The sequence below is a fragment of the Homo sapiens genome, chromosome 4 (assembly GCF_000001405.40).
Source record: "Homo sapiens chromosome 4, GRCh38.p14 Primary Assembly".
Taxonomy (NCBI): domain Eukaryota; kingdom Metazoa; phylum Chordata; class Mammalia; order Primates; family Hominidae; genus Homo; species Homo sapiens.
Genome location: NC_000004.12, coordinates 84810626 through 84827443, shown reverse-complemented (window position 1 = coordinate 84827443; position 16818 = coordinate 84810626). Strand labels below are relative to the sequence as shown.

Below are 16818 nucleotides of genomic sequence, written 5' to 3'. Positions count from 1 at the left end.
TGTGTGGAAGTACACATACAGCACTAGTAAAGGAAAAAAATAGGTTACAACATACTGTATATAGTATGAGAATAAATATTGTAAAAACTAAACTTTTCATATTAAAAAGATAAGCTTAAGAATAAGAATGTTAAATGTGTTTGTGAGGCTAATCATACTTTTTCTTCTTTCCTACTTTTTGGCATTCTCCAGGTTTATTTTAATGAGAATAATTACTTCTTTTAAGGGGAAATACCCAATAAATCTTTTTTTTTTTTAAAGGGTATTTGTTGCAACCCATTTTGTGTTCTCAGGAAAGCCGTGGTTAAAAGATAATTCCCTAATGACCCCAGTGTTCTTTCAGTACTTCCCAGAGTACTTTATACATTTATTTACTGCATATAAAATTGAAAAATACTTTGTGTTAAATCTGAGAACACAACCAAAGAGAAAAAAAATACTTTCTAAATCATACTTTTCTAGATTGGAACAAGCAAAAGAGGCAGAATCCAAAGATGCCTTGAAAGATCTGGTTAATCTGATAACTTCCCTAACAACATATGGTGTCAGTGAACTAAAACCAGCTGGTATTACCACAGGGGCACCCTTTTTATTGCCTGGATTTGCAGTACCTCAGCCTGCAGGCAAAGGTGAGTCTTGTTTTTTCCCTTCTGTGCTACTGAGAGAAATAGAGAAAGAATGAATTTGTCTTATTTTGGTATATTACTTTTTGTTTCTGTTATATATATAAAAGTAATATAGTTTCCCTTAAAGCTTGTTTTTTTTTTAATGGTTTAAGTATTTCTTAAGTAATAACCTTTAATCTAGCAGATCAAATACTTGAAAATAATATTATAAAAATATAAAATCAAACAAGGAGATTTATATTACAGTATTTTTTAACATTCAAACAATTTAATCAAAACATGCTTCTTTTGAATGTTGGCACTTCGTGCATTTCTACTTTACGTGGATAGAACTCAATTTTCAGCCTAATCTCTGTACCTATTAAGACATAAAATCATCCCTCAGTATCTGTGGGGGATTGGTTCCAGGACCCCCTGCCGATACCAAAATCCACAGATACTCAAGTCCCTGATATAAAATGGTATAGTATTTGCATATAACCTACACGTCTTCCCATATACTTTAAATAAATAATCTCTAGATTACTTAAAATACCAAATACAATGTAAATGCTATGTACTTATTTTGCTGTATTGTTTAGGAAATAATGACAAGGAAAAAAGTCTGTACATATTCAGTACCGATGCAACCACACCTTTTTTTTTCTTTAATACTTTCCATCTGTGATTGATTGAATCCACAGATGCAGAACCCATGGATACAGCGGCTGACTATGGACAGCATGAAGTATAACTGCTTGTATTTTATTTAAAACTAAGCAAAATCTATGTACGGAGGTTACATTATTTCATTTGGGTCGGAGGATAAATTTTTATAGTCTAGATTTCCAAACATTTGGATCCTAATAATATTTAATTACATACTTATGCAAGTTAGTTTTATTATGTATTTTATTTTTCAAAAAATGCACAGTAATCATTTCAAAGTAACCTGAGCCTGGAGGCCTCTAATAGTTTTTATTCACATGACTGTCACTTACTAAGTATTCAATAGGATCATGATATTTCCATTTAAAATTTAACCAGCCAATAAATACAAACATGTCTGGTTATTTAAATTTATAATACATATGTTATGTATTAAATTTGTAATACATATTTAAATTTATAATACATATGTTATGAGTTAGAAATTAACAGTCTATAATCAGTGAAAATAGATGGCGTCATCAGTGTAATATGATGTGCCCTCAGTACATAAGTTGTTTAGAACCTTTTAAATGAGTCTCTGCAGTAAATAGGGAGAAATCCATGTTTCCCTAAGTGATTTAAGGTTTCATTTTATTTACTATCAAGAAAAAAATAGTGTGGCAATTCACACCTGTAATCCCAGCTACACAGGAGGATCTTTTGAGCCCGGGAGTTCAAAGCTGCAGTGAGCTGTCATCACACCACTGCACTCCAGCCTGGGTGACAGAGCAAGACCCCCTTTCTCTTAAAAGCAAAAAAAAAAAAAAAAATAGAGACTTCTCAGAAAATTTCTAATTTATAGATTCCAGCTTGATCATTCTACAGTTAAATCTTCCTATGAATTAATATAAAAATATTGCAGCAATGTACTTCCTATTTTATACTTTATTGTTGTTTCATTTGGTTTATCAATGTGATGTTGATATTGGCATAATAGCTAATCACAACAATTTAATTTTGTAATAATGCAGCAAAATTAATCTTGTGCATATATCATTGCCTGGTTTTGTCTCATTCATAACAGGGATAATAATTATATAACCTAGCACCTCCCAGGGTTATGGTGAGAATCCAGTGACATAATGTCTATGAAAGTAAGGCTATCTAGAAAGGATGATGCCCTAAGAGTCAGAATTTATGTAATCATAAGTGACCTAACTTTTCTAAACATCAGTTTCTTCTTCAGAAAAATTGGCATAATATTCTATAAAGTGAATGGGTGAAGCTACATCATTTTGAGTTTCCTGTATAACTCAAAATTTTCTGTTTCTCATGGCCTACTTTTAGCATTATTGCAAGGATCATAGGAAATAGCTGTATTCCATTATAGAAAGAATGTGGAATAGGTTGTCTTTTACATTTTCTAGCAGTATTGAGGTGTAAATTGTGTACATTAAATCTACTCAATTGAGTGTTGAATTTGATGAGTTTTGACAAGTGGATATGGTTGTGTAATCACCACCGTAATCATGATGTGGAATATTTTCACCGTCTAGAAAGTTTCCTTGTTCTCCTTGCAGTCAGTCCTCCCCACCTTAACCCTTGCCCTGGCAACCACTAGTCTGTTTTAGTTTTGCCCTTTCTAGAACTTAATACACTGTAATCATACAGTATATAGTTTTTTTTGTATCTGGATTCTATCTAATCACTCCCCTCTTAACTGGGGGAAATGTGTTCCAAGGTCCCCAATGGATACCTGAAACCACAGATAGTACCAAACCCCTATATATTCTATGTTTTTCTTCCACATCATACATATGATAAAGTTGAATTTATAAATTTGTCACAGTAAGAGATTAACAACAATAATAGTAAAATATAACAATTATAGCAATACACAATAATAAAAGTTATGTAAATGTGTGCTCTCTCTTAAGAGCATGAGCACTCTGTCTCAGAATATCTTATTGTATGTAATGTTTTCAGACTGTAATTAACCATGGGTAACTGAAACCACAGAAAATAAAACCATGAAAATGGGGAGAATATTGTAATACTTTGGAGAATCACCTATGTTATTGCATGTATCAGAAGTTTGTTCCTTTTTAATGCTGGGTATTATTTCATTGTTTGGATAGTCCACAATTTGTGTATCTCTTCACCAGTTGATGGACATTTATTTGACTATCAGGAATAAAGCTACAGTGGACATTTATATAAAACAAATCTTTCTGTGGACATACGTTTTCATTTCTTTTAGCTAAATACAGAGTAGTTAAAGTGCTAGATCATATGGTAAATGTATGTTTAACTTTACAAGAAACTGCCAGAGTATCTTCTAAAGTGGCTGTCCAATTTTTGCATTCACATCAGTAATGTCAGTTCCAGTTGCTTGACGCTGTCAGTAACACTTGGTATTGTTAGTCCTTTTAATTTTAGACATTCTACTAAGTATGTAATAATGTCTAATTGTTATTTTAATTTTCATTTTTATAATTGACTAATGAAGTTTTGCATTTTTTATGTGCTTTGTCACCATCTGTTTCTCTACCTTGGTTCAGATCTCTGAGCCCATTGTTTGATAGGGTTGTTTTACTGGAGTTATAAGAGTTCTTTAGATATTCTGTATAAGTTCTTTATCCCTTAATATGTATTTTGGAAGTGTGTTCTCTTAGTTTTGACTTGCTGGTTTTTTTTTAACGCATCTTTTGAGAAATGGAAGTTTTAAATTTTGATGAAGTCCAGTTTTTCATTTTAATAATATTTTGTGATTGTTTTTCTCCTATTGAAGAAATCTTTACTTCAGATTCACAAAGATCTCTAATGTTTTCTTCTGATTTTTTCTTTATCCAGTGTTTCATATTTTAACTTTTAAATTAAGGTCTATGGTACATTTTAAGTTATTATCATAGAGGGTAGAAAGTAAGGATTTCTTTTTTAATATGGGTATCTGAATGTGCCAAGACCCTTTGTTGAAAATATCATATATGACTACATATATCTGAGACACTTTCTGAATTTTGTTTGATTGATCCATGTACCTGTCCTTAAGCCAATACCACACTGTCTTGATTGCTGTAGCTTTATAATAAGCCTTAAAATCAGGTCACTTAAGTTGTCCAGTTTTGTTCTTTCTTCTCAGAATCATATTGGCTATTCTAAGTCTTTTGATTTTCCATATAAATTAATAATCACATGAACTATTTTTTTGAAAAGCTGCTGAGATGTTGATTATTCTTTTCCAGACATCTTTACTTTTTATATTATGTAGGTAACCAAAAAACAAACTTAGATAGACTGATAGACACAGGAAACAAAGATAAATTTTTGGTATTTGCCATACATGTAATAAACAAGAAATTAGAGAATTGAAATCATATATAGGCTGGAGATTTTTTAAATTTCCTGTGTTTTTAAGAAATGTCGAAGTCAAGATTTCTGAGCATTCTTTTTTGTTTGTTTGTTTGTTTATTTTACAGACAGGATTGCTTTCTGTCGCCCAGGCTGAAGTGCAGTGGTGTGATCATAGCCCACTGCAACCTCAAACTCCTGGGCTCAAGCAATCCTCCTGCCTCAGCCTCCTGCCTCAGCCTCCTGAGTAGCTAGAACTACAGGCACATGCCACCATCCCCAGCTAAATTTTTTTTTAAATCTCTTGTAGAAATGGAGGTGGTCTTGCTATGTTACCCAGGCTAGTCTAGAACTCCTGGCCTCAGGCAGTCTTCCCAAAGTGCTAGGACTACCGGTGTGAGCTACTGCCCCCAGCCCTGAGTGTTCTTTCTGCTCCATTTACTAATTTTGGTAGTTCTCTGGTTTATACTCTTTCTGAAATCCAGCTTATTCTGTCAGACACTATGTTAATTTTTTGGTCATACTTGGAAATGCCATATACTCCTAATAGGTATTGTTCTGGGGACTCCTTTTACAGGCAAGCTGCTTATTTTCATGTACTTCAAATAGAACTTTCTGTCTTAATTTCTTTATAATTATTGTCACTAATTTGCCTCACCAGAGCCATGTATAAAGTTTTTTTTTCCCCATTTGGTACGTTTGAATAGCTGGCCATAAATTACTTTAACAAATGTCTATATGAAGAAATTGTACTGTTAGCTAGAAAACAAAACAAACTTCCAGCTTAAAATTTATAAAAATCACAGTGTTCTAATTATAAAGGAAAACTGGAATTTAGAAAAATTTTCCCCTCCTGTTTTCCTGCTTCATTATTGCTGCTCTCAGGCCTGTAACTTCTTCAGCCTCAAAGTCTTTTTAAATTGAGAGACAGCTGTCCTTATAGTCAAAATCAATCTCATAGATAATAAAACTACCACTCTAAACTCTGAAGCATGGATGTTTATAATAATATGCTTTTATTCCCTCTAAAACAGTCTAACTTTTCAACATACACTATTTTTGAATTGAAATATTCATAATAATGCATTAAAGTTTTAATCATTGTTATTTTTAATTAAATGATTTGAACCTGATGAAGAAAAATAAGACCTTTTGTGAAAACAGGGTTATGTTCTTAGTAAATAATTGATAAATGTTATAATTCATGATGTGTTTAAACAGACTAGTTTGCCATCATTAAAATATCACATAGTACCTACTTTTATGTTTTTCTTTTCTGTTCTAGGTCACAGTGTGAGAAACGTCCAGGCCTTTGCAGTTCTTCAGAATGCATTTTTAAAAGCAAAAACCAGCTTCCTTGCCCAAATCATCCTTGATGCTATCACAAATATTTACATGGCTGACAATGCCAATTACTTCATCCTAGAGTCACAGCACACATTGTCACAGTTTGCAGAGAAGATTTCTAAACTCCCAGAAGTACAAAACAAATACTTTGAGATGCTGGAGTTTGTTGTTTTTAGCTTAAATTATATACCTTGTAAAGAACTTATTAGTGTCAGTATCCTCTTAAAATCTAGCTCTTCTTATCACTGTAGCATTATTGCAATGAAAACACTTCTTAAGTTTACAAGACATGACTACATATTTAAAGACGTGTTCAGGGAGGTTGGCCTTTTGGAGGTCATGGTAAACCTTTTGCATAAATATGCTGCCCTGTTGAAGGATCCAACTCAGGCACTAAATGAACAAGGTAAAGTATTGTCTGTAATTTTATTTTTATTTGAAAAGGGGTTCAAAACAGAGAATTTTTTGTTCTTGTTCCCATTCTTTGGTTATTGATTTCAATGACTTCCTAATGTGCATTATTGTGACATATTAGTGAACTGTATTTTCCAAAATTTACAGGTTCATTCAACCTCTGTTAGGTAATTGAGGAGGAGGAAGCTAGAATTATGTGAGTGTATTGGAGAGAGTTTAAAGGAAGGTAAAAACTGAGGGAAAACATGTATGATCCACATGACTAGTATCTACTGCCTTGTGCTTCTAAGAGCGAGCTTTAAAAGCTTCTGAAAATAATCAGATTTGTTATTAATTACAACTAATAAATATAGTTAAATGTATAGTTACTTCAATGTGTTTTTATTGTACAGAGCAAATACGTATATTTAATGATGTTATATACACAATGTATTATCATTGGGTACCTCTCTGATAAATCTGATAAAAGTACAGTAGTATCTGGCAATTAATAAGTATTAAATGTGAATTAATACAGGTTGAATAGATAGCTTTATTCATGAACTTTTCTCTCTTTTTGGTGTATCAAAATCTAGCGTTCTCCTGTTGACATCCTTTATTAGGAAAACCCTCTGTGAAGAGGATATATTTAACCTTTGCATTTTCATTTTTAATATTTATTGGATAACGGCCACTTGCAAGCATACCGAAATAAAATCTGTTAATATTGATTTTGAGCCTACTTTTGCCAAATGTTGGATGCATGCATCGTTTTAAAGATTATATTATATCTGTCCTATTAGGGGTAAAACTGAATACTGAAGAAATAAAGAAATTATTACAGTAAAACGGAATCAAGAAAAAATAAGCTTATCACTTTTGTAATTTGGACCTTTGAACCTTTTTTTAGGGGACTCAAGAAATAATAGTTCAGTTGAAGACCAAAAACACCTGGCTTTATTGGTTATGGAGACCTTGACAGTGCTTCTTCAAGGATCAAACACAAATGCAGGTAATTTAAAAAGCTGCAAGCAAATACTTTGGGAGATTACCACTGATTACATCTTCTGTGGTTATTCTTGCTTCTGAAATCTTCCTGTCACTTTAGAGAAAAAACTATTGATTCAGTGATGGTACCCGTCATGTCCCTAAAAATGCAGTGCTTTTGACCATCAGGAGCACCTTGATGACAAAACATATAAGATTGTTACTATTTCAAAATGATGTTTAAATTGCTTTTTATAGTGTCTTGTGTTGAAAGTATTCTTCTAATTTTTTATTGATACACTCTTACTCAAATAAGTTGCTATTTAAATTCTTTCTAAAATATTTTCTTTACACAGTGATTTAAAGAATATTTTTAGTACTACAAGTTAGAGTATTATAATGTTACAACCTTCAGGAAATACTGAACAATGATTCTCTAATAAAACGTAATCTCTCCAAGGTTAATTAACTTTACTAAATATTTTGTTTAATTTTGGTCTCAATTTCTCTTTTATACTTTTCTACCTGTCATTAACAGATAACCTAACTATATTTATAAAATATCACTCTTGCTTTTTAAAAAAGATTACTTGAGATTTTAATTAACATCAAACAACTCTCAGGTAATAAGTTCAGTACAACTTGAGAGGAATAATGAGTTCAGATTAGTAGGCTGGGCTCAAATCATAGGGAGCTTTTTAGGCCATGGTAAGGAGCTTGAAATATATTTTAAGTGTTATGGAAAGCCATGGATGAATGAACCCCATGCCCAAATGCATGACTGTTTGCCTGAATGCAGGGAAACTCAGCATTCATCATATTTAAAATATATTGTGTATCCCAGGTACCATGCTAGCTAGGTGTTAGATTATTCTAACACCTAGATGCTAAGGTAAGATCATTCTTGCTCCCTGGGAATTAGAATCTAGTGAAGAAAAATGTAGACACATAATTATAGAAGTAATTAGTCTGATACAAATTTGGCAAATGCTAAGATAGACTTGAATGAATTTAACAGGTAATTGAAACAATGAGTATGATGAATTTTAGTGGATACTATAGTAACATTTTGTCTATGGCATAATGCATAATCTTATTTCCACTAACTAGGTTTAGTTAACTGAGATAATCAGAAACATAATGAAGATAGACTAACAGGAATTTGCTTAGCAAATTAGCTTTCCTTGAGACGACCTAGAAGTTGCACAGGAAGAGATTGGACAATTGGAGAGCTTACTCTGCACGACTAAAAGTCACTTAGTACATATCCCAAAGTGCCAAACAATTTCATACAATTCTTTTCAGTTTTTCTTTTCCCAGTATGAAAGATGTTACTAGCTGTGTGATGTTAGGCATTTAAAACAGTACTTTACTCATAGTTTAAGTATTTAAATAATATTAGCCATTATGATTATCTAGTGGGTCCTAACTGACAACCAGGAGGTAACTAAACAGGCCTTCAGGTAATGAAAGGATGTCACAAATTCCATGTGCTGAATCTCAAGCACATGGCTTAGACTGACTTCATGATCTTATAATTTTTATAAAGTTAACAAATAGAAAGCCACTAAGCAGAGAGGACAGTGGCTGCTATAGCAGAATACACTGTTTTAGTAAACGTTTATTGAAACACAAATCAGGAGAAAATCCAGTAGTCATGGAAGACCAAACATAAGCAATAATAGTAAGACTGTTTGTTATAAACCATAATAGAGATATAAACAAGATGCCCTAAAAACGTAAGGGATAGAAGAATTACTTAGAGGAAATACTAATTAGTGATTTCAGTCACTGGGCCCATTTTTTTAATACTGGAGGATGATATTAATATTTGATGTGAGAACAGTATCACTTGTGAGCAGGAGCACAGGCTTACAGAGCTGGGCTATGTAGGCATACATCCTTTTCTGTTGCTTACTAGCTGTATGACTTTGACCGCCTTACCTCTATATGGTAGGGGATGAGTATTAAGTAAGTCAATCTGTGTAAAGGCTTTGGAGCAGTAACAATGACACATACTTCTGTTACAGAATTTGTCACTTTTTGTTCTTATGCTCTACCTGTGCAACAAAACATGTTGGTTCCTTGTAATTTTTCCCATGGTGGAATAATTTATTCCATTCCTTTCTTGCTACTATTTTGGAAGCCATGTTCATTTAAATCTCCTTTATTTAGGCTATTGTTCCTCTGAAAGCCTTTTACATAAGTTGATTACAATAGAGAGTCTCCTAGGGTCTGCCTAAGAGACTTGTGAATGTTCTAGATTTTGAGAGCTTGGACATGGTGAACATATCACGGCATTAATCTTGCATTAAGGAAATGTAGAGAAAATTTGCATATACCTTTGCTGACAACCCACTGTGCAAATTTGTATTGTAATTTAAAAGGTGAAATAGTTGGGTAGGTTTTATTTACATTATTATGAGTTACTTTACCTACAAAAAATAACTGAATGTTAATTCATCTGACTTGTCTCAGAATATTTTAAAGTAGCCATTGTTGGACTTTTTCTCCTTCCTTCAAGGAATTTTTCGAGAATTTGGAGGTGCAAGATGTGCACATAATATAGTAAAGTACCCTCAATGCCGGCAGCATGCCTTGATGACTATCCAACAGCTGGTGCTCTCCCCAAATGGGGACGATGACATGGGCACTCTCCTGGGGCTAATGCATTCAGCCCCACCGACGGAATTGCAGTTGAAGACTGATATTTTAAGGGTAAGTTTGATAAATGTGTTTCCCTTCTTTTACTACTAAAATCTGTGGTTATTTTTAGATGATCTGTATTTAAGTTAGAGACAGGGAAATTAAAAAAAATCCAAATTACCCAAGAAACCTCACAACTTTGTACACGTTAGGAACTTGGAAAAACTCCAGTCATTTATGTCTTTCAGTATATATTTTACTTCTGCTGATAAACCTTTTCAGTAATTATCTTGACTTACTGGAACTCTTAAATTAAATATTAGTGAAGTATAGGATCTTAATTAATACTAAATATATGTATTTTCTGATCAGTTAAATTCACTCATAGTGTTATGCATCTGTGAAATGAATGTTAGATTTGGCATTTTATACACATGCATGCATATATGTATGTATGTAAGTAATGGATATTCTAGTAGATATCAAACAATATACCAGGAGTTATACATATGCTTTTATCATTTACTCCTTAGTAATACTATAAATTAAGTAGCACCCTGTTTTGCAGATGAGAAAACTTAGGTTTAGAGAAATCATATAACATGGATTTTGTTCACTTAAGTGACTTTTAATTAGTAGAACCGACCCCCAGATTTCAATACCCGTTTTATTTCCACAGCACCATTGTTTTATACAGATTTATACACTCACATTCTCCCATATTACTGGTTATTGATATTATAAGAAATGATATGTAAGAAATTTTTAGAATCAAACTATAATCGAATGTTTCACTTTCATTTAGAAGTGAATTTAGTAATGCAAGTAAGGAGTAATGGAAAAGTAGACTATTAAATATTAAATGATATATTTTAAAAATTTCCAAGTTCCAGATATAATAGTAGCTAACATTTATTGACTGCTTTCTATTAGTACTGTTGTATGCATTTATCTGCATCTACTTATTTAATCCTTATGATAAAAATAAATACTATTAGTGTCCCTGCTTTACATACTGTAAACTGAAACACAGACTGGTTGAAATATTTTCCCAAGTTCTATATGTCTGTCTAGTAGGTAGAGGAGTCTAGATCTGAACCCATGTAGTCTCTTTGTAAAGCTGTGCTTTCAGCTTATCTGCTGTGAATAATAGTTGTTTTAATAAAAAGAGACATAGCCTTCTCTTTCTGTGACTAAAAACCTGCTCTTGTATTTAAATAATATCTGAGTAAAGTGAAAGAAGTCCATTAAAATTTATGTTCTTTAATTTATTGATTGATGCAAGGTTTCTAAATACAATTTTCCGTTGTAAGGATTCAGGCCTCCTTGATTCCAGGACGAGGGCAGAGAAAGAAACAAAATGAGCCTAAAACATTTCAGTTAGCCTTGAAAAAGTAAAGAAGAGATCAAAGAAAATAAGCAATTAAGTAAGTACAATCAAACAAATAGAGAAGAGGAAAAACTCTTACTTATAGTCAAAAGTCAAAGAAAATCACAATTTATGAACTATCGTAGTAATAATTGATTCAAGTAAAATTCATCACTGGATACTAAAGATAGTAGATGAAAGTTTTAGAAGTGAAAGGATTTTTGCGTACTCTTAAATTTTATCCTTAAAAGATATTTCTTAATTTCGAGTGCTAAAATATTAGCTTTACAATGGACCCTACCGTAACTAAATGATCAGCATTAACTTTGCCAGTGATGGACAGATGAATAGCATACACCTCCTGATAGGAAGCACTGAGAAAAATTCAGCTCATTTTTGTACTTTTTCCTCCCAAAAGTATATAATATGAATCTGATTATTAGAAAACATCAGATAAATCCTAATTGGAGGACTTTCTATGAAATAATTGGCCTAAACTCTTAGAAAAAGGAGATGAAATGAAATTAAAAATGACGTAGGAACTGTTCCAAAAAGTAGAGGTTGAAGTGACTACTGAATATAGTACATGAACTTGTATTTTCCTTTGCTATGGAGGATATTATTGGGATTTGGAAAAAACACAAGGTCTGTAGATAAAATAATTGTATTGTTTGAACGTTAGTTCTCTGATTTTGAGCATTGTACTGTGAGTAGTAAGAGAATTCCTTTTTTTGAAAAACACTGAAGCTTTTAGGGGAAAAGGGAAGGGGAGAAAGAGAGAAATTAAGTAAAATGGTAATTTTTCAAGAATCTGAATGAAGGATATCTGTGAATTCTTTGAACTATTTATGCAGTTTTTCTTCAAGTCTAAAATGACATTAAAATAATAACAGACAAACCAGTGTGTTTAACCTTGCTTCCAAGGCCCTTGTGACCCGATCTCCATCTCCTTTCACTTCCTCTACTAGTACTCTCACCTGTAGATGAGAAAAACATTATTTTTCCTCTACCTGCTGAGTTCTTAACTAGGACAGACCAGTGTTACAAAAGACAAATTAACAAGAGAAAAACAAACAAGTTTATTAACATGTCTACCTCATATGTGCGTGGGAAACAACCAGGGAAAGATAACTAATTCTCAAAGAGGTGGCTTAGAACTCCATTTTGTATGGTAGTCCCCCCATATCTTCGGGGGAATACATTCTAAGACCCCCCAGAAATGCCTGAAACTGCAGATAGTATGGAATGCTATATATACTATGTTTTTTTCCTGTGTATATTCATACCTGTGATAACATTTAATTTATAAATTAGGCACAGTAAGAGATTAACAACAATAACCAATAATAAGATAGAATAATTATAACAATATGCCAGTGTCACTACTCTTGTGCTTTGGGACCACTATTAAGTAAAATAAGGGTTACTTGAACACAGGGACTGGGAAACCTCCACAGTTGCTCTGATAACCGAGACTCTGCTCAGTGACTAACAGGCAGGTGGCTTTTGCAGCATATGTACACTGGACACAGGGATGAGTCACAGTGGTGTGGGGCAGTGTGAGATTTCATCATGTTACTCTGAACAATACACAATTTAAGACTTTTGAATTGTTGTTTCTGGTATTTTTCATTCAATATTTTTAGGCCAAGTTTGAGCACAGGTAACTAAAACGAAGGAAAGCAAAACTGCAGAGAAGGGGGACCACTGTATAGCATTCTCCGCAAAGAACAGTACATTTTTAGAGAAATGATGACATAAAGGAAACGGACTCTAGGGATATCAACTTGTGGGAAGGCAAATAAATGGTAGATAAAGAATAGTTGGTAGTTTGTTGTGTGCATTTCTTTGCTGTCTCCAGGCTGGGAAGGGTCTGACTTCATCAAATAGGGGATGGCAGAGAGTTTTCTTATATCTACTTCTTCCCAATTGCCTTCAACTGAAAATAATCCTTATGCCATAGTGGCGTATTTTGGGGTGGCATATACTAGTTTCCTACATACCCCATTCCAGCCACAGACATTAGTAGTTATTACTTCTATTTTCTTTTACTTTTATTCAATTAAATGTTTCATTGGTAATGAAAAAATAGCATTTCTTTCCTTATGCTGTCATATATTTCATCATGTTTTGATGGTGTATAATGACAATTTTGAATATGCATCTTAAAAGCAAGATTAATCTCACCGCAATTTATCTGTTAGACAAAAAGGATATCCACATGAGTGTCGATATTTGAAGAACATTTTATATTTGAAGGAATTGTTGGGAGAACATAGATGGCTTCAAAAGATGCTAAGGTTGCCAACTTTTTTTTAACATACCATTTTCTCCTCTTTTGGTACCTTATTAATTGGATTTTTTAAATATTGGTAAGTAAAGCCAACAAGAAGTAATTGGCTGACCCGTAATTTTGAGGCAGTGTTCTGGTTAATGTTAGTAACTGATTCTCAGGCTGGAAGAGGGCAGGAGAGAGTCATGATATTTTGCATTTACTGATTTCCAGGGTATAAATACTCACATTGTGGCCTATTCAGTCAACTAATGTGCCACTGAATGTGGATTGGAAAGAGTTGCACAGTAGTACACCATTATATAGCATTTCCTCATGCAGATACGTAAAAGCATAGATAATAGTAAAATTCAGAAAATAATTAGAAACTGATGAGTTTTGAGTATTTTGTCTGTAAAATACTTAGTTGTAAATTTGTTACTTAATTTTTAATTATGATTGTACGTTTAACAACTGACTTACAAAATTCCTGAAAATATGGCACTTGACCTCTTGAGAGCCGGTATGAGCTAGCTCTGGCATTCTGCTTTGAAGGGAAAAAGTAGCGCTGAGAGCCAATAGGGAAAATGTGGGTTCTCAGTTTCAATTTCCATTTTTACTTCATTCAGAATTGCTTCTTAGTGCCTCCATTCAACTGACATATACCACAGACCTATGTAATTTAATTTGTAATTACATAGTGCCTCCATTCAACTGACATATACCACAGAACTATGTCATTTAATTTGTAATTATTTATACACAAACCTGACATTCCATGACATGTCATGGAAATTCTCCTGATGCACAAATTTGAATTGTATGAATTGTATTTATGCAAATATAAGTAATATATAGCTGATTTTGTCTAATTAACCAAGCAGCCTCCAGATCTCATTGCAGCTTTGGTGTTTGCTACTTGTCATCATTTATTGATGTAAGTGGGAAGTTACATTATTCATGGTATTTGAAATTTTTCGAATACTGAGATTGTGCTTGGGATAATGTCAGAGCAACAACAGATACCAGTTTTGAGGAAGTAGGAGGTGGGCCTGTCCAGAAGTACATAATATAAATTATTGGACTAAGATTCGTAAGCAGCAGTTTTTCTAACCTCAGTCATAATTCTAACCAGTGATAGCATTTTGTACATGTTACTTTAACTTTGAACTCACCCCTCCTCATCTATAAAATAATACTTGTCATATTTTTCTCCCAGTATGTTTTTGAAAATTGATGATAGTGATAGGCTTATATGCCGGGCACTTCTCTAAGGGTTCTTACATGTATTTCCTTTGAGGTTAGTTATTGTTGTTTCCATTTTACATAAGAGGGAACTGTGACACAGAAAGGTTAAGTAACTGGGATGGTTAAATACTTTTTAATGTTGGAGTCAGAATATGACCCCAAGCATCCTGAGTTCAGCCATCTTCAGCCTGTGTTATAAGGAGTGTATGTGTGTGTGTGTGCGTGCATGCGCATACATGTCTGTGTTAAGTCTTTTGTTAATATGAAATATTTTAAGTATTCATATAGTTTATTAAATTTGACAAGATAGGGAAACTAACTATATTGTTACCAGATACTAAAATGTAAATTTATTGATTGAAGACTATTGGAAGAAACATTGTTTTTATATTTTATTTACATACAGATTGCATATTTTCTGTCTTTTAAAATATTAAGGAATAGGTGTGAACAATGAAATCTTCATAACTTCTGAAACAGTATATGTCAAAAGGTGACTAATATATTAATACAGGTTGAGCATCCCTCATCCAAAAACCTGAAATTCAAAATGCTGCAATCTTTTTGAGTGCTGACAAGTGGAAAATTCCACACCTGACCTCATGTGATGGTAAAGTTGCATGAGCAAAATTATTTAAAATATTGTATAAAATTACCTTCAGGCTATGTGTATAAGGTATATATGAAACATACATGAATTTTATGTTTAGATAACTTACTGTATATGTGCAAATATTCCAAAATCCGAAACCTTTCTGGTGCCAAACACTTTAAATAATGGATATTCAACCTGTATGTAGCCTTTTCATTCTTCAGATACCATTAGAAATGTGTGAGATCTTTTAAAAAAAAATGACTTTTTCAAATGCGATGATTGGACAGATTAGAAATTATATCTTAAGTAATAGTAGATACCCATTGTGCTACAATTAATGAAACAGAGGGCAAAGGAGCCCACTGTATCCATGAAAAAGATTTCAGCTTGCTGTTTGGGGCATAATGTCATGATTAAGTGCAGGAGTAGGGTAATTAGACTGCCTAGGTTTAAATTCTACCTTTACCATTTTATAAGTTGTATAGTCTTTGGAGAGTTATTTTACCACATTGGGCCTCAATTCCTTATCGATAAAGTGGAAATAATAATAGTACCTTACCCATAGGATTGTTGAAAGGATTAAATAAGCTAGTGCATAAAAGCACCTAGAGTGCCTAGTACATAGCAAGTGCCTGATAAAATATTAGGTGATTTTGTAATGTGTTTTTTAAAATCATAAGCTGGCCAGGGCGGTGGCTCACGCCTGTAATCCCAGCACTTTGAGAGGCAGAGGTGGGTGGATCACTTGAGACTAGGAGTTTGAGACTAGCCTGGCCAATATGGTGAAACCCCATCTCTACTAAAAATACAAAAAATTAACTGGGCATAGTGGTGCGTGCCTGTAATCCCAGCTACTCAGGAGGCTGAGGCACGAGAATTGCTTGAACCCAGGAGGTAGAGGTTGCAGTGAGCCAAGATCATGCCATAGCACTCCAAGCTGGGTGATAGAGCATGACTCTGTTTGTGTTTTAAAAGAAAAAAAATCATAAGCTAAGTTAAAATTATGACAGTTCAGAAAGTAAATGTTTGATTTACTTATTTACTTGTTTTCTTTTTTAAAGCTTACAGCTGTTTTGGGAAAAGCCATACTTTCAACCCTTAGGCTTCAGTTCATTTTGCAAAAGAGAATGTTTAATAAGTCTTCTAAAGTGAATCTGCTTTCTAAAGCATGAATATGGTCACTTTATGTGAGACAAAAGACCTCAGATCTTGGCTGCTCTGACCATCTCTGTGATCCCTTCTAGAATTAATCAGTTTGTATACACACAGTCATAAGTTCTCATGATTGTGTAAAACTAGACTAGAAGATATATTTTACTTACTTTGTAAAGTCACTGAATTCATTGATGTCATA

At 33.1% G+C, this 16818-nt stretch overlaps 1 protein-coding gene across 29 annotated transcripts in view; it reads left to right on the top strand.

Moving 5' to 3' along the window:
* WDFY3 (WD repeat and FYVE domain containing 3) overlaps positions 1–16818 on the top strand; it is a 297094-nt gene that overhangs the window by 139247 nt on the left and 141029 nt on the right. For all 29 annotated transcript variants that reach the window (XM_011531759.3, XM_047449858.1, XM_011531763.4 and 26 more), the window contains 4 exons: positions 463–629; positions 5893–6360; positions 7258–7359; positions 9859–10052. In XM_011531759.3, coding sequence (XP_011530061.1) covers positions 463–629; positions 5893–6360; positions 7258–7359; positions 9859–10052 — 931 coding nt within the window. The remainder of the gene's footprint in view (positions 1–462; positions 630–5892; positions 6361–7257; positions 7360–9858; positions 10053–16818) is intronic.